At 39.0% G+C, this 15460-nt stretch overlaps 1 protein-coding gene across 13 annotated transcripts in view; it reads right to left on the bottom strand.

The window, feature by feature from the left end:
• The window catches only part of ATP8A2 (ATPase phospholipid transporting 8A2), a 653878-nt gene that overhangs the window by 424788 nt on the left and 213630 nt on the right, over window positions 1–15460 (bottom strand). For all 13 annotated transcript variants that reach the window (NM_016529.6, NM_001411005.1, NM_001411006.1 and 10 more), the window contains one exon: window positions 11365–11429. In NM_016529.6, coding sequence (NP_057613.4) covers window positions 11365–11429 — 65 coding nt within the window. The remainder of the gene's footprint in view (window positions 1–11364; window positions 11430–15460) is intronic.

The following is a 15460-nucleotide window of genomic DNA, read 5'->3' as shown; positions in this document are numbered from 1 at the left end:
AACAAAATAGTCAACTTCTGTGTGGTCCACGAGATGTTCATGGTCACTCTACCTGTCACTGCAAAGTACCATGAAGAATCGACTGAATGTTAAAGGTCTGACTTTTATGGAATAGACCACATCCGTGCGATCTTGTAGTATCCCGTGTCCTCCTGATGCCTACTTCCTGCCTACAGGTGAGCTGGTGCTAGATATTATCTGCTGGCTTCGGTATTTATTTCTGTCTTCTTCCATGTTCTTCCCTGTATTTCAGAGACTGGAAGGCTTAAAGCCATATTTCTTAGACTCCTTTCTTACCAAGATGCTGCATGAATTCTATCAACAAGATGCATTTGCTTAAGATTGGGAAGACAGAGAGGAGAGAGAGCATGAAGAGACCACATTCTACCATCTCGACCTGGCTTCATGGGTGTAAGGATGCCAGGACGTTGGCAGTGGCTCCCTGAGGTCTCCTGGGTAGCAGCAATAGTGCTCTGACTCCGGGAACAAAGCTGCAGGGCATGGACCTGAAGCCTCTCTAGGGCTCGCTGGCTTCTGCTCCTTCCGCTCCTTCCACTTTCCCAATAATTTCACAAGCACCTAATTTCCTATTTTAAATCTTTACACTTGAAATTCATTTCTGTGCCAGCTGTTAACATCTCTCACTGTCCAGGCTCCCTTCTGTGTTCAGCCTATGCTACTGGAGTAGGAACTACCAACCACACTCCTCACTCACAGGTGGCTCTAGGCCCTGCCAGCAGGAGAGGGGCAGAGAGAGAATGAGAGACTCCAAAGCTGGAGACAAAGAAAGAAATGTGCTCCTTCTTGTTTGCTTCTTGTCTGCTCGCAATTCCCTTGACAATCACTTCTTTAACCTAGCCTTGGGGATGTCTGTGTTCAATGAAACTTTATTTGCAGGAAGAGATGTTGGGTCAGATTTCTCCTGAGGGTTGTACTTTGCCAATCCCTGCCCTAGAGTTTTCTTACTGTACTCTTAGTTACCTAGTTAGCAAACTCCATAACTTAATTAACAATTCTTAACATTGAAACCACTCTGTTCAGAGACCAGATGTGGTTTTTATCTCCTGAGCAGAACTTGACGGTCACCATTTCCTGCATGGAACTCTGACTGTTCCTATAGTTGGTATCAGAAGTGGTTCTAAGAAATATTCCAAAGGTGAAAAACTGGCATTAATTATTTCTTTTGCTTGGGTTTGAAGGCACTGATGACCTAATCATCAGTGGAAAAAAGATATTAGCTGTCCATGGCAAGTAGGACCAAAATAGCTACTGAAGTGATCATTCAATGGCTTTCCTTGCCATTGCAGTCATCATCCTGCCTCGTCCCTGGAACCCAGAGGTGAAACAGATGCACTATTCTGGTCTTCTTTTCTCCTGATCCAGCTAAGTTTCCCTGGAATTCTCAAAATCAGAGATAACTGGCCACACACTAGGGGCAATAAATTATTACAAAAGAAAAACCCAAGTGATACAGGTCTTTAAACTGGAAATTAATATTTATCAAAGACAGAGGCAGAGTGATTACTTACATTTTGCCTCTAGGCGTGGTAAAGTAACTAGTATACAAGATTTATAAACAGCCAGAAAACTGGGAAAGTGTATGAAACACACTGTTTTCAGACACTGGATAACAGGCAACACAGGAAGACAATCCTCAGAAGAAGAGAAGTTCATGAGGTGAGCCGATGACAGCTGAAGCTTTCTAACCAGAGGTACTTCCCAAATTGTGATTCAGGGAAGAGGAACCCAGAGGATGATGTTCTCACTGCTATGAGGAGACAAAGAATGTTAGAGAATGCTGGGTGGCTAGGAGCTGCAAAGCAGCATATGGGAGAGAAGGAACTGCACAGAGAAAGAGCTCAAGCATCTGTAAGGGTCCCCTTGGCTCTTTAAGCAAATGCTAATTTATGCACATGTACAGGGACATGACATGAAATTTGGGGAAAGAAAACCCTAAAATAGATACATATATTTTTTCTCATATATATGAAAAAAGAACAACTATCAGTGCTGTAAGATAAAAAAAAAAATTCCCAGGGCTCATGCATGATTGGAAGATACTTAAGTTCCAGCACTGACAGTGGAAAAACCATAGGGAACACTTGGGGTCTTAGGCAGCAGCACCAACAGGTTATAACTTGGTAGGAAAGCTGCAGTAGTTCTAGAGTAAACTATAAACTCACAAGTAACTGCCTGCCAAAACACAATATTCTTTAAAAGAAAACAACAGAATCTAGACACTCAATCACAAAATAACCATCATACAATAAAAAAAATTACTAGACATGCAAAATAACAGAAAAATGTGACCTATAACAAACAAAAGAAGTAAGCAAATAGAAACAGACCCATAAATGACAAAGAAGTGGAATTAGCAGAGGAGGAATTTAAATGAGCTATCATAACAATATTAAAGGATTAAAAGGAATGCATAAATACAATGAAGAGAAATGGAAGAATCAAAAGGAGCCATTATAATCAGAAAAAGCAAATTTGACGTGCACAAGTCCTGTACACTGAAAACTACAAAATACTGCTGAGAGTAATTTTAAAGACCTAAGTAAATGAGAGATATCCCACGTTCATAGAATGCAAATATCAATCCCATTAAAGTGTCAAATTGCATTAAATCCACACATAAATTTTCGGAAAATCTCCATAAAAATCCCAATAGGCTTTCTGGAGGAATCTACAGCCTGATTCTAAAATGTATACAGAAATGCAAAGGTCCTGAAACGACCAAAACAGTCTTTAAAAAAAATAAAGTTGGAGGATCTCAAGACTTGTTATAAAGTTATCATATTGAAGACAATGTGGAATTGGGCACAAAGAGGGATACATACACAAATGCAATAAATTAGAGGGTCGAGGAAGAGTCACATATATGCTCAATAGGTTTCCAACAAAAGCACAGGTATTTCAATGATGAAGTAGTAGTATTTTTCACAAATGATGCTGTAAACACTAGATAACTATACGGGATATAAACTGGACCTCAATCCTTACCTCATACCATGCACAATAATGGATCACAGACTTAAACTTACAAGCTAAAACTACAAAACTCCTGGAAGTAAACACAAGAGGCACTCTTCCCAGTCCTAGAGTAAGTACATATCTCTTAGAGAGCACCAAAGCTCTAATCACAGCAAAAGAAGAAGAAAATGAGAAAGAAATTTTGACTTCAACAAAATTAAAAAAAAAAACAAAAAACTTCTGGCTCTTCAAAAGGTGTTTATACTGCTTTTCTATAGTTATGAAACATATTAACAGAAATTTAGCAACGTAGAATACCACACATATTTATCATCTCAATTTCTCATAAGAAATCCATGCACAGCTTAGCTAAATCTGCTGCTTAGGACCTCATGAGGCTGTAATCAAGGTGTTGGCTAAGCTGGAGTCTCACCTCAAGGCCTGACTGGAGAAGTACCTGTTTCCAGCCTTCCTCAGGTTGTTGGCAGGATTCATCTCTTGGTGATTGTCGGACTGAGGTCTCCATTTTCTTGCTGGCTGTAGGCTTGGCCACTCTCAGCTACTAGAGGCTGTCTGCAATTTCTTGCCACATGGCCCTCTCCATAGGCCTTCTCACAACATAGCCAGTTACTTATTAAAGCCATCAATGGAGAAAAGTCTCTCACTCCAATCTGCTAAGATGGACTCTTATATCATGCAAGGGAGTGACATTCCATTACCTTTGCCATATTCTACTGGTTAAAATCAAGTCAAAGGTTCCACACACACTCAAGGGGAGGGAATTAGGCAAAGGTGTAGACACCAGGAGGCAGGAATTATTGGAGGCCAGCCTAGGGTCTATTTTCCCTAACACTGGTAAGAAAATGGATAGGCAAGACAAAGATTGGTAAAAAAAAAATTTGCAACAGACATCTATGAAACAGGGTTTATATCCAAATTATATATTCAGAAAACTCTTAGAATTCAGTAATTTTAAAAAGCATATAACATGTTTTTTTAAATGGGCAAAAGTTTGACAGAGACTTCAACAAAGGAAGATTTTTAAATGACCAATAAGCACAAGAAAATCAACATGATTAGTCATCAGGGAAATATAACTTAAAGTCACAATGAGATATTATCAATAATACACACCCACTAGAATGGCTAAAATTAAAACGACTGACAGTACCAAACACCGGTGAAGATACGCAAAAATGAAAACTCGCAGGTAATACTAGCAGGAGTGTAAAATGGAAATTGTTTGGCAATTTCTTATAAAGCTAAACATATATCTTCCCTCTAATCTAAGAATTTTACTCCTAGCTATTTACCCAGGAAAAACAAAAACAGATGTTCACCAAAACTTGCACAGAACAAAACCCTTACAGCAGCTTTATTCATAATAACCTCAAACTGAAAATAATGAAAATGTCCTGTAACAGGTGAACGAATAAACAAATTGTGGAATATCCATAAAATGAAATACCCAGCGAAAAAAGGAATGAACAGATGATACACACAGCAACATGGATGAATATCAAAATAATTGTGTTGAATGAAAGAAGCCAGACAAAAAGACAGTCTTCATATGAAATTCTAAGCAAGCACAATTAATCCATTGTGTTAGAAAGAAGGTCCGCGTGCTTGCCTGGGGATATGGAGGGCTGGAACTTTTTGAGATCATGTAAATGTTCAATATTTTAAATGGGGTGGTGATTACATGCTTATATACATTTGTCAAAATATATCACCATGTACACTTAAAATTGGTACATTTAATTGTAGGTATGTAAACTGTATCTCAATAGAGCTGATTTAAAATCATTACCTGTGATCAATTTGTAACAACTGCCTATTAAAGCCAAGTCTGTGGCAGATCAAGCAGCTACTGAAATATACCATTAGAGCAGAAATAATACAAGATTAAGGATAGGTCAGCCACTTCTCACTGCACTGGGAAGCTTAAAGAATGAAAATTGCAAAATCAGAGGTCAAGACAAAGTCAGAAGACAAGAGAGTCTCTATGACAGACTAAGAGAACCTCTTCTCTCATAGCAGCCCGACATATGCAGCCTAAAAAGTTAATTCTGTGGGTTGTAGAATTCAATGAATGTTGTAGTCCTAGACTAACCAGGTCTCTTTCATGAAAGTTAGGGCGCTGATGGGAAAGAGTGGGACCTTAAGAACCTGAATGAGGACACATGTATTGGTTTGAATGAATCCAAATCCCTTGACCTTCAAATCCTGTTAGCTCTCCTTGGCCAGCAGCATCAGACCCTCCTCCTCTCTCTCTGAGGACAGCCCTGCACTGTGTCATGCTGGAGCACCATGTATTGACCCTACTTTTAATATCAGGTTCTGTACGATTAGTAGGGTGAGGATAAACAAAGAGACTACCACCTATGCAACAGTTCAAAATATATAACCTTTTCTCAGAAAAACATTCCAGAGGGAATCTGCAGATTCTGTTTCCCAAAGTCATCCAGGGGCCCAATCGAGGGGAGCAACTCTGATGTTGCCAATAAATAGCCCCCAAAGTAGCTCCAGCCTTATACCATTTCCAGCCAGCAAAATGGGAAGGGCTGAGGAACCAGGGCAAGAGATTTCCTTCTCAATGGGTAATGCACAAGGTCGCACCTCACTTCTGCTCACATTCCACCAGTGAGAATTTAATCTTATGGCCACACCCATCCACAGAGAGGCTGGAAAATGTAGTCTCTGCCGCAGGCATCATTAATGAATTTTATCTGATTCCATTTTCATTCCACAGTAGCCATTCCATCAGTGACTGTACATACTTATTTCATAAAACCTTTTGTGTTAAAGAATTAATGCTTTGCTCTGAGCAAACACATCTTTGCCAGTACATCTTTCTTTTGATGGCCTCTCAATAACAATAACCTTTGGTTTATTCCATACGTTGAAACACGTTAGAAACTACACTTTTATCCAAATATGTAGTAAATCTCTTATGTTTCACAATTTGTTTAATTACTTGTTTCTTAGAAACCTTGGCAAATGCCATTAATTCATTCCTTTTTATGGCTGAGTAGTATTCCATTATATATATATATACATATACATATACGCATACATACATATATATATATATATATATATACACACACACACACCACAGTTTCTTTATCTACTCGTTGTTTGATGGGCATTTGGGTTGGTTCCAGGTTTTTGCAACTGTGAATTGTGCTGCTATAAACATGTGTGTGCAAGTATCTTTTTTGTACAATGACTTCTTTTCCTCTGGGTAGATACCCAGTACTGGGATTCCTGGATCAAATGGTAGTTCTACTTTTAGTTCTTTAAGGACACTCCACACTGTTTTCCATAGTGGTTGTACTAGTTTACATTCCCACAGTGACCTGGATGAGATTGGAGACTATTATTCCAAGTGAAGTAACTCAGGAATGGAAAACCAAACATCGTATGTGCTCACTCATAAGTGAGAGCTAAGCTATGAGGATGCAAAGGCATAAGAATGACACGATGGACTTTGGGGACTTGGGGGAAAGGGTGGGAAGGGATAAAAGGCTACAAATCGGGTTCAGTGTATACTGCTCGGGTGATGGGTGCACCAAAATCTCACGAACCACCGCTAAAGAACTGACTCATGTAACCAAATACCACCTGTTCACTAATAACCTATAGAAATAAAAAATTTTTTAAATACACACACACACACATAAATCCTGGCAAGGTTTTGTATAGGTCTTCCACCCATATTCAACTTAATTATTGCTACACTGCGTTCTCTATATTATTGCAGCAGGAAAACCAAATGCTCTCCAAGTAACTCAGCACTTTTTGTCCTTTACTAACAAATATCAAAGACATTTATCATTCACGAATTTGCAGTAGATTTTGTGAAATTTTAGAGTAAATGATTAGATTACTACATTCTTTAAAAAATAAATTGCTGGTAAAGTTGTAGATTTTTATTCTCTTACTCAAGATTCTTAGTTTTTAAAATCTCATTAATTCCTACAATTTCATGTTACCACAGCTAATATTTCAAGATACCATATACATTTAGGACAAAGTTTATGGTTAATTATAATAATCTTGTGAATAATTTTGAAATTTGCTGTGTCTGTCAGATCAGATCACTGTTTTAACTATCAAGTAGCTGAGAAGAGCTGGAACTAGCACACACATTGAGCAAGGCAAATTATTGCAGCTTCTGCTTACAATGTTGTTATCCTCAATTCACTTATTTTTTTAACAGGAATTCTATTAAGTCAGCATCTGTGAGAGTCATTTTAATGAAAACTAACTCTAGTCCACAAGTCCATTTAACCAATACACATGAATGGCAATATTTCACAATTGGCTAAAAGCAAATCAAAGAGTGAGAGTCTCAGTAACAACCTTTCTCACTTGAAACGCCATGCCTCCCTCCTCCTACCCATTCCTCTCAGACCAATTTCTGGTCAGTGTGCCAGGAAAAAAAATTGAGGATGCCAGTGGCAATCCTTACGTATTATCAATAAAGCTAATCTCTCAGTACTTTTCTAACTGAAAAAATAGGAAACCACAACTTTTTTTCCAGCATTTTAATATATCATCTAGTGTCCCCCTGGGGTGCACACCATCACTCCACCTTGTTCAAAGACCACTGATCTCATCTATATTATGGAGCTTAGAAGTTATTTTGGCAGCATATGACAAACTCAAAACACAGACATAAATCCTAATTGTTTACAGCATTTGGAGTCCGAACCTGGCCATACTTACTGGTCTGATGAAACTGATAGGGGCCAGGTGTGGATCCCCTCACACTTATATGAGAGATGAAATAAAGAGAAGCCAGGCCAAATGCTTCTAATTGTTGGGCCATTTTCTGTGTCCCTGTCCCATCTGCATTGTTATTGGAGCCCTGAGACTTAAATTCTCAACCTGGGAGCTCCACCAAAGCTCTACTGTATATCTACTTTATTGCGCTAGGACGCTGCTTTTATCCCCCTCCCCACCACCAAATACGATTTTAATAAGAATAGGAATGGTTTTAACCCAACTAAAGCATGAGAGGGAGGAGAAGGCAAGGAAGGAGTAGAATCTTCCTCAGTAGACACTAGTCAGAAATATGGAGTGTCCTTTTGAATAATGAACAAAAACAGTACATAGAAAGTGCACCTCTGCTCAGTAGATACTGAATAAATTACAGTCATTATACTAAAAGATGAAGTTCAAAATTAGTTAAGAAAGAATCATTCTTAGAAGGTTAAACCAAGGCAAGTCAGGAAAACACCCATAAAACCCTTCTCAGTTTGGCGTCACAAACCACTCTTTGGTCTAGGTAAACCAGAAGTCTCAATGTGTATGTAGAGTTAAAGTTCATCTCTTGGACTCCAGAAAACATCTGATATAAGGGGAAAACAGAGGCTCATTTCTGAGTTACCTCCAGAAAAAGGAGGCTTTTTTCAAGGTTAGAGATACCTTTGAACCAGAAAATCATCAGAAAAAAAGGAAGCCTCAAGTACAGACACTGTGGGTGTGTTCATAAGGTATGTGCACACATCCAAGGGTTCTAGGAGCCTTTCTGCAGGAGCACTCTGCTCTCCTGTCCACCGATGCGGTGTTTTGGCTTACTCATTTTCTACTTCTTAGTAACATCAACTTGTACTCAGCCCCTCATGGCTACTGTAGCCACTATCTCATCAGCATGACTTTTAAATAGAAATTCTTATTGATGACTAGAAAATTATCTTAAGCTTGTTCATTCATTCAAACATTTACTGAGTGCATAATATGTGCAAAGCAAGGTCTTGAAGGTGGAGATGCCCAGTTTTTTTAAACAGGTTTTTAACCATGGACCTTACAGTCTAAGGGACTAAAGGGAGGTAGAAAAAATACAAATTATGTCATAACACTGAAAAAAAACCTGATTAAAAAATGGGCAAAGGATTGAATAGACATTTCTCCATAGAAGATATACAAATGACCAAAAGGCACATGTAAAGATGTCCATTGTCACTAATAATTAGGGAAATACAAATCAAAACTCCAATGAGATACCACTCTCAAACCCATTAGAGTGGCTACTATTAAAAAAAAAAAAACCAGTGTTGGCAAGAATATGGAAAAATCACAAACCATATAAAACGATGCAGCTGCTGTAAAAAAACAGTATGGCTGTTCCTCAAAAAGTGAAATGTAAAATTACCATATGATTCAGCAACTCCACTTCTGGGTATATGTCCCCAAAAATTAGAAGCAGGATCTCAAAAAGATATTTGTATATCCACATTTATAGCAGCACTATTCACAATAGTCAAAAGTTGGATTGAGACCATCCTGGCCAACATGGTGAAACTCCATCTCTACTAAAAATACAAAAATTAGCCAGGCATGGTGGCGCATGCCTGTAATCCCAGCTACTCAGGAGGCTGAGGCAGGTGAATCACTTGAACCAAGGAATTGGAGGTTGCGGTGAGCCTCGTTTGGCACAGCACTCCAACCTGGCAAGAGAGTGAGACTTCGTCTCAAAAAAAAAAAAAAAAAAAAGTTATAAGCTACTCAACTGTCCACTGATGGATTAATGAATCAACAAAATGTAGTATAGGCATGCAATGGAATATTAATCAGCCTTAAAAAGGAGCGAAATTCTGACACATGGTCCGATATGGATGAACCTTGAAGACATTATGTTACATGAAATGAGCTAGTCATAAAAATCACAAATACTATATGATTGAACTTACACGAGGTACTTACAGCTGTGAAATTCATAGAGACACAAAGCAGAATGACTGCCAGGGGATGAGGTAGGTGTGGGAATGGAGAGTAGTTGTTCAAAGGGGCACAGAATTTTGGTTTGGGAAGATGAAAAGAGTTCTGTGGATGGATAGTGGTGATGGTTACACAACAATATGAATATACTTAATGCCACTGAACTGTACACTTAAATGATGTATTTCACAACAATTTACACACACACACACACACACACACACATAGTATTTCCAATGATGAGAGGTTCCATGGAGAAAAATAAAGACGTGTGAGAGGGGGAAGACTGAAACACTTGGGTAGAGGAGAGATTTCCTCAGAGCATGTGAGAATTAGACTCCAGGAGATGAGGTATGACCTGGGACTCTGGGCTGCCTGCAGGCAGTAACATGAACAAGGATAGGAGGTGTACCGAGATGAATTCTGAAGCACTCACGCCAGAGGGTGGTCTCTTGCCAGTGGTGCCTTGGAAACATACAGAACTACGGACTCTCCCCCTGCCTCCTGCCCTTGGTCTCATGAAGGGGTAGAGAGTATCCTGGTGTTCACGATAGGAGTTATGGCCCTCTCAATTTGCAAGTATAGAAAGCTCTGTACTTTATTGCCTCCCTTTAAAAGAGTAATTAACCGTGCCATCTGCCCCTGGCATTGGCTAAATATAAATATTAAATATACTGCCTGAAAGGGTGCTATGGGTGCCTGCCAGTAACAAAGCCCTTGTTAAAAGTTCTGACAAGTGGAATCTCATTGTTCAGCTCATATTTTCATATCAAACCACTTCACAGGTTGCTGGTGACCCTCAAATCAGCTCCCACTGCTGGTCTGTTCAGTGGCTTTATGCCATGATGGGGTGGGTTCATGCGGCAGCATTGGGACATCAGAGAATTAAGTATACATGTATCCTATTACTATACGAATGTATTATTATTATTTCAAGACAGAGTCTCACTCTGTCACCCAGCTTGGAAAGCAGTGGCACGATCACGGCTCACTGTAGCATCCACATCCCAGGCTCAATCAATTCTCCAGCCTCAGCCTCCCAAGCAGCTGGGACTACAGGCATATGCCACCACGGCTGGCCAATTTTTCCATTTTTTGTAGAGATGAGGTCCTGCTGTGTTGCTTAGGCTGGTCTGGAACTCCTTGGTTAAAGCGATCCTTCTGCCTCCGCCTCCCAAAATGCTGGGATTACAGGCATGAGCCACTGCACCTGGCCTCACTATATAAATTTAAACAATGCTTAACACTTGAATATTAGTTTTATTCTAAAGTTTGTGCTAGAAAGAAAATCATACATGTCTCCTTAGTAACTTATAGTGAAATTAACCATCACCATTTAATGTAGGTCATAATAGGTTCCACTAATATTTCATACTTAATGATTAAAGCTAAATCAGATTAAAACTATCCCATTTTAAATGCACAATTCTAGATGAATAAAAGTATTATCATGAGGCAATATTCTAAGCTTACTGTTTTGATGTTTAAAGATAAGGCTTTCTGACATCCATTCTTAAATATAAATATAAACAGAAAATAAACACAGTTTTTTCATAACTGTTTTTTAGCAAAACATGATCCCTGATTATCAATGATAGTAGAAAGAAAGAGTTTAATACTGTTATAGCAAAGCAAATACAACTTTGAAAAACTACTTACATCCAAAGAGTCCTCCTTCAATAGGATAAGGGCCATATTCTGCGATACCAATCGGCAGGAATACCCTGAAGTGGAGGAAGAGACAACATGTGAATTTCTCTTTCCTTCTGTGAGCTCCTTAAATTCAACCTCCTTGGTTATATCTGCCACTTTAAGCCTATTGGCTCACACAGAGGAATAGGGTAACAGTGAGGAGTAGGAAAAGTAAGTTGATTTTGATTCTTGTACAGATTGAATAGAACTAGTTGGGAATGTCTTTATAACTAAAGGCTAAAATAAATACTTCCCAATTTTTAGTGGATTTTTCTTTATCTCTGTTATCCTTGTATAACATTAAGATAAGCCTTGGATCGTCTAAAGTAACAGTGAACACTTCAGGAAGGCAGTGGACCCCAATGGTGCCCCTAAATCAGCACACACACACCCACTGGGATAGCTAGCTCCCTCCCTTCCTTTAAGACAGCAGCTGATTCTCACAACAGGTTTCAAAGGAATACACTGAGGGAGTCACTTTTCCTGTGAAAAATTTAAAGTAATCCACATTTCAAAAAAATCTTTCTTTGGTTGTTATTTTAAAAAGGCTTTTTTTTTTAAAGGCTTATTTGGAACGAAAGTACTCCTAGTTCTTAACAATTTCCTTCTCATTTTTCAGTAAAGTTATCTCTATGGGTTAAGCGAGATAGTATTTTCTCTTTCCCTCCCAGCAGGAGAACTATTTTCTAGGAAGCCCTGGGCTCTTTCCTACTCATACTTTGCCCTGGGTGAGCAGTCATGGACCAAGCCGAGCGCCTCTCAGGATGCCTCCCCTCCAATCCACACCCTCGGTGGCGAGGAGAGGGCTCTCGCAACTCCAAGACCAGAGGTGTCCGCCAGGGCACTGGCCTGTCTCTCAGATCACCTTGCCATCCTCTCAGTGCCTTGGGGGGTTAGCGACGACTTGTGCTTTCCACCAACGCCCAACTCAATCTCTCTCATTGAGAAAAGGCAAGAAAAAAATCCTTCTCCACAGAATATTGGCCCCCACAACTAGTTTTGTCTCAGCACCTTAAGATAATGGATTAAGGATTATAGAAAAGGGAAATCAATCAACAGCCTTCAACTAAGCAGGTGACAATCTCAAGGGAGGGCTTGGCCAGTACTGTTCCTACAGCCAGGGGGAGGAGTAAGGATTCTCCTCACAGGACAGGGAAGAAGACATCCTTCTCACAGATGCTACACGTGGCTAGCAAAGAAGACGGCATTTACCTAAGGGACAAGGAGCAGAACTGCTGCATTTATGTGCTCAGACCTACTAGCAGGTTCCCTTTTCATCCCTGAGAAATCCTCCTAACAGGTACAAAATGAAATTCAAGATAGACAAAAATTAAGACCAAGAAAAACCATGTTGTGGGTTTTTGGGGGAATGAAGGGGTTGAAGGAAACAGTAAAAAAATTTCGTTTGTGTATTTCAGAAAGTACATCCTTCCTAAGGACCGCCATGTAGAACATTTTGTAAAGCACCTCCAAGATCAAATTTTAAAGCGCAAAATTATGGCTTTTCATCCAAATGTTAATTTTTTAAGGCAATATGAAAAAGACATAGGCAAGGCTGTTAACAACAGTTATCTCAAGGGAATCAGATTATTTCTCTTGTTAAAACAAACACATATTGTTTTTAAAGCCAAAACAAACTGAATAATTTTAAATCACAATACCACATGGGCAAATACCTGTTACATCTCTAAAACAAAAAAAAAGGAGGGGGGAACAAGAAGCAATTTTCTATACATTTACAAACTAGTTCAAGTCTGTATTTTAACAACAGTGATGGATAAAACTGAGACCCTCTCAAAATGCCATTAAAAGCTCTGCCTGGTAGGACTAGAATAATCAAACTCTTTGTTTCCCATTAAAATTTTACAAATGCATTCTTCCTTCCTATAAGTCCTTAGATTAGGTCCAGAAGGGAGATCTACATTTTCTTTTCACTTGCAAAGAGGGATATTGCAACTTTAATCATTTCCCTCTATGTTAGATTTATTCTTTCTTCATCCCCAGAGACTTTCAGCAACTTCATGCAATATAGACTGTTACAAATTTAGTGTAACTAATGCAAAAGGATTTACTGGTAGTTTTTTACTTCAACAACAGCTGCAGAAGCTGGCTGTAATTTTTAAGCCCTCGCTTGCTGCTTTATTTTATATTTTTCAATTTAAGCAAAATGCCATTTGACAACTGAAGCTACACAAAGATATTATGGAAAAACTCAGTCTTTTTTTTTCTAGCCATGGCAGGGGGAGAGAGAAAAAAAAACTACTGACACTTTCATGAATTTAAATATACAAAACTAAAGGCTTCTGAGAAGAAACAGGTTAAGGGTTTTGTTGTTGCTGTTTTTAGTTTGGATACGGAAGTGAGATTTTGTTTAGAGAATTATCAGTTGGAGCACTCGCACTAGACAGACCAGGGAAGTTTAACCCAGTTAATTGTGGCTTAACTAATGTAGCAAATTATTTATTGTGTCAATCCACATTTGGTGTGCTTGATTTCTAATGTTTTTGGATAAAATGAGATCAACTCTTGGAGAAGAGCCAGGTATAGAATGTCAATCCAAACTTGTAAATTGAGGTCTACTTCTTTAATCTCGCAATCTAACAAGACGGCCATAAAATGACTGAGAGGAGAACCTCTGGGATTTCATTTTTTACTATAGTTGAAATTAACAGTATACTACAAAAGGGTTTAGTCTTTCTACTACCTGAGTATAATCAACATTCAAAGAAACCAAAATATTATATAGTCTATGGTACTTACGGCAGGACTTGATTTTAATACAAGATAATGCTTCACACTAGAAAATATTACTAAACCAAATCTGTCAGCTCTCTCAACCTGTTTCCTCCTTAAAAAAGGAGAACACTGGTTTTGATATCAAATCCAGATTTCTCTGGAGACATTTTTGAAAAAGTCAGGAACAATGTATCCTTCCACACCATATATCCTGAGATCACATCCACCAAGCTACCCATCACAGGATTCAACATGGTACCAACCCGCAGTGAGCATGTTACTGGTTCTCAATAGCTTTACAGAGAATCTGGTCAGTCAGTGTTTGCCTGTATGAAAAACACTGGCAGACAACAAGAATGCATGACAAAAGACGGTCTTTTAAGCTATCCCAGGTGGGATCAAAGACAGCCCGTCCAGAGCCCCTCATCATCCAGAGAACCAGGGAGCTGAGGCCTTGTCCCTGGAGCACACGCCTGGGCACCTCTCCCTTGAGACCCTTCAGGCCCTTCTCAGGAACCCTCGCCACACAGAAGAACATGCTCCCTCAACCTCACCTCACGGCTTCTCCCCACGTTGGGACATCCTGACCCATTCTATTCTCAGTCATTTTTGTTTTAAACAAACTCTGAAGGCTCAAGTTTTAAACTCCTCTCATCCAGGAAGACTTCCCTGGTCCTTTACAACTCATATTGTTCCTTCTGAGAAATGAACACTGTGTGTTGTGGTTAAGTGCTCAGATTTTCAGCTTTCTCACATCTGTATGACCTAGACTAAGTTACTTCATCTCTCTGTGCCTCAGTTTTATCTTTAAAAGGGGATAATGCCTTTTAAATTCTCCAAGGGAATTAAATATAAAACATCTGTAAAGGACTTAGTGCAGTATCGGGCACATAATAGATAACATTTGCTAGTAACTATTACAAAAGCCAGTCATAATTAACATCTACACTGCACAATTGGTACTTCCTCATCTGTTTCATTCTCTGATTTGTCTCATAATTAACTCATGCCCCAAGTGTGGAATGTAAGTTGCCCAAGCTTATAGTGGAGCACCTGGCAATGTTAGCTGCAGGTAATCAAGAAATACAGGACTGAATCTTCTGTGAAAAACAGCAGTAAGATTGAGAACATCACCAGTGTTGTCACCCTCACAGCCCAGCTTCACCTGAGAATGGCAACTCGCCTTCCTTTTAATGAACAAGAAAATGTACAGGCAATTACAGGAGGGGCAAGTGACATATTGAGTCACTTCCTAAAATTAAACTTCAAAGATAATCTATATGTATCTCATAACATCATATTGTTTACCTTATACACAATAAAATGT

This window comes from Homo sapiens, chromosome 13 (assembly GCF_000001405.40).
Source record: "Homo sapiens chromosome 13, GRCh38.p14 Primary Assembly".
NCBI classification, from domain to species: Eukaryota; Metazoa; Chordata; class Mammalia; order Primates; family Hominidae; genus Homo; species Homo sapiens.
The sequence above is the reverse complement of the archived record's forward strand: the minus strand, read 5'-3'. Positions and strand labels throughout refer to the sequence as shown.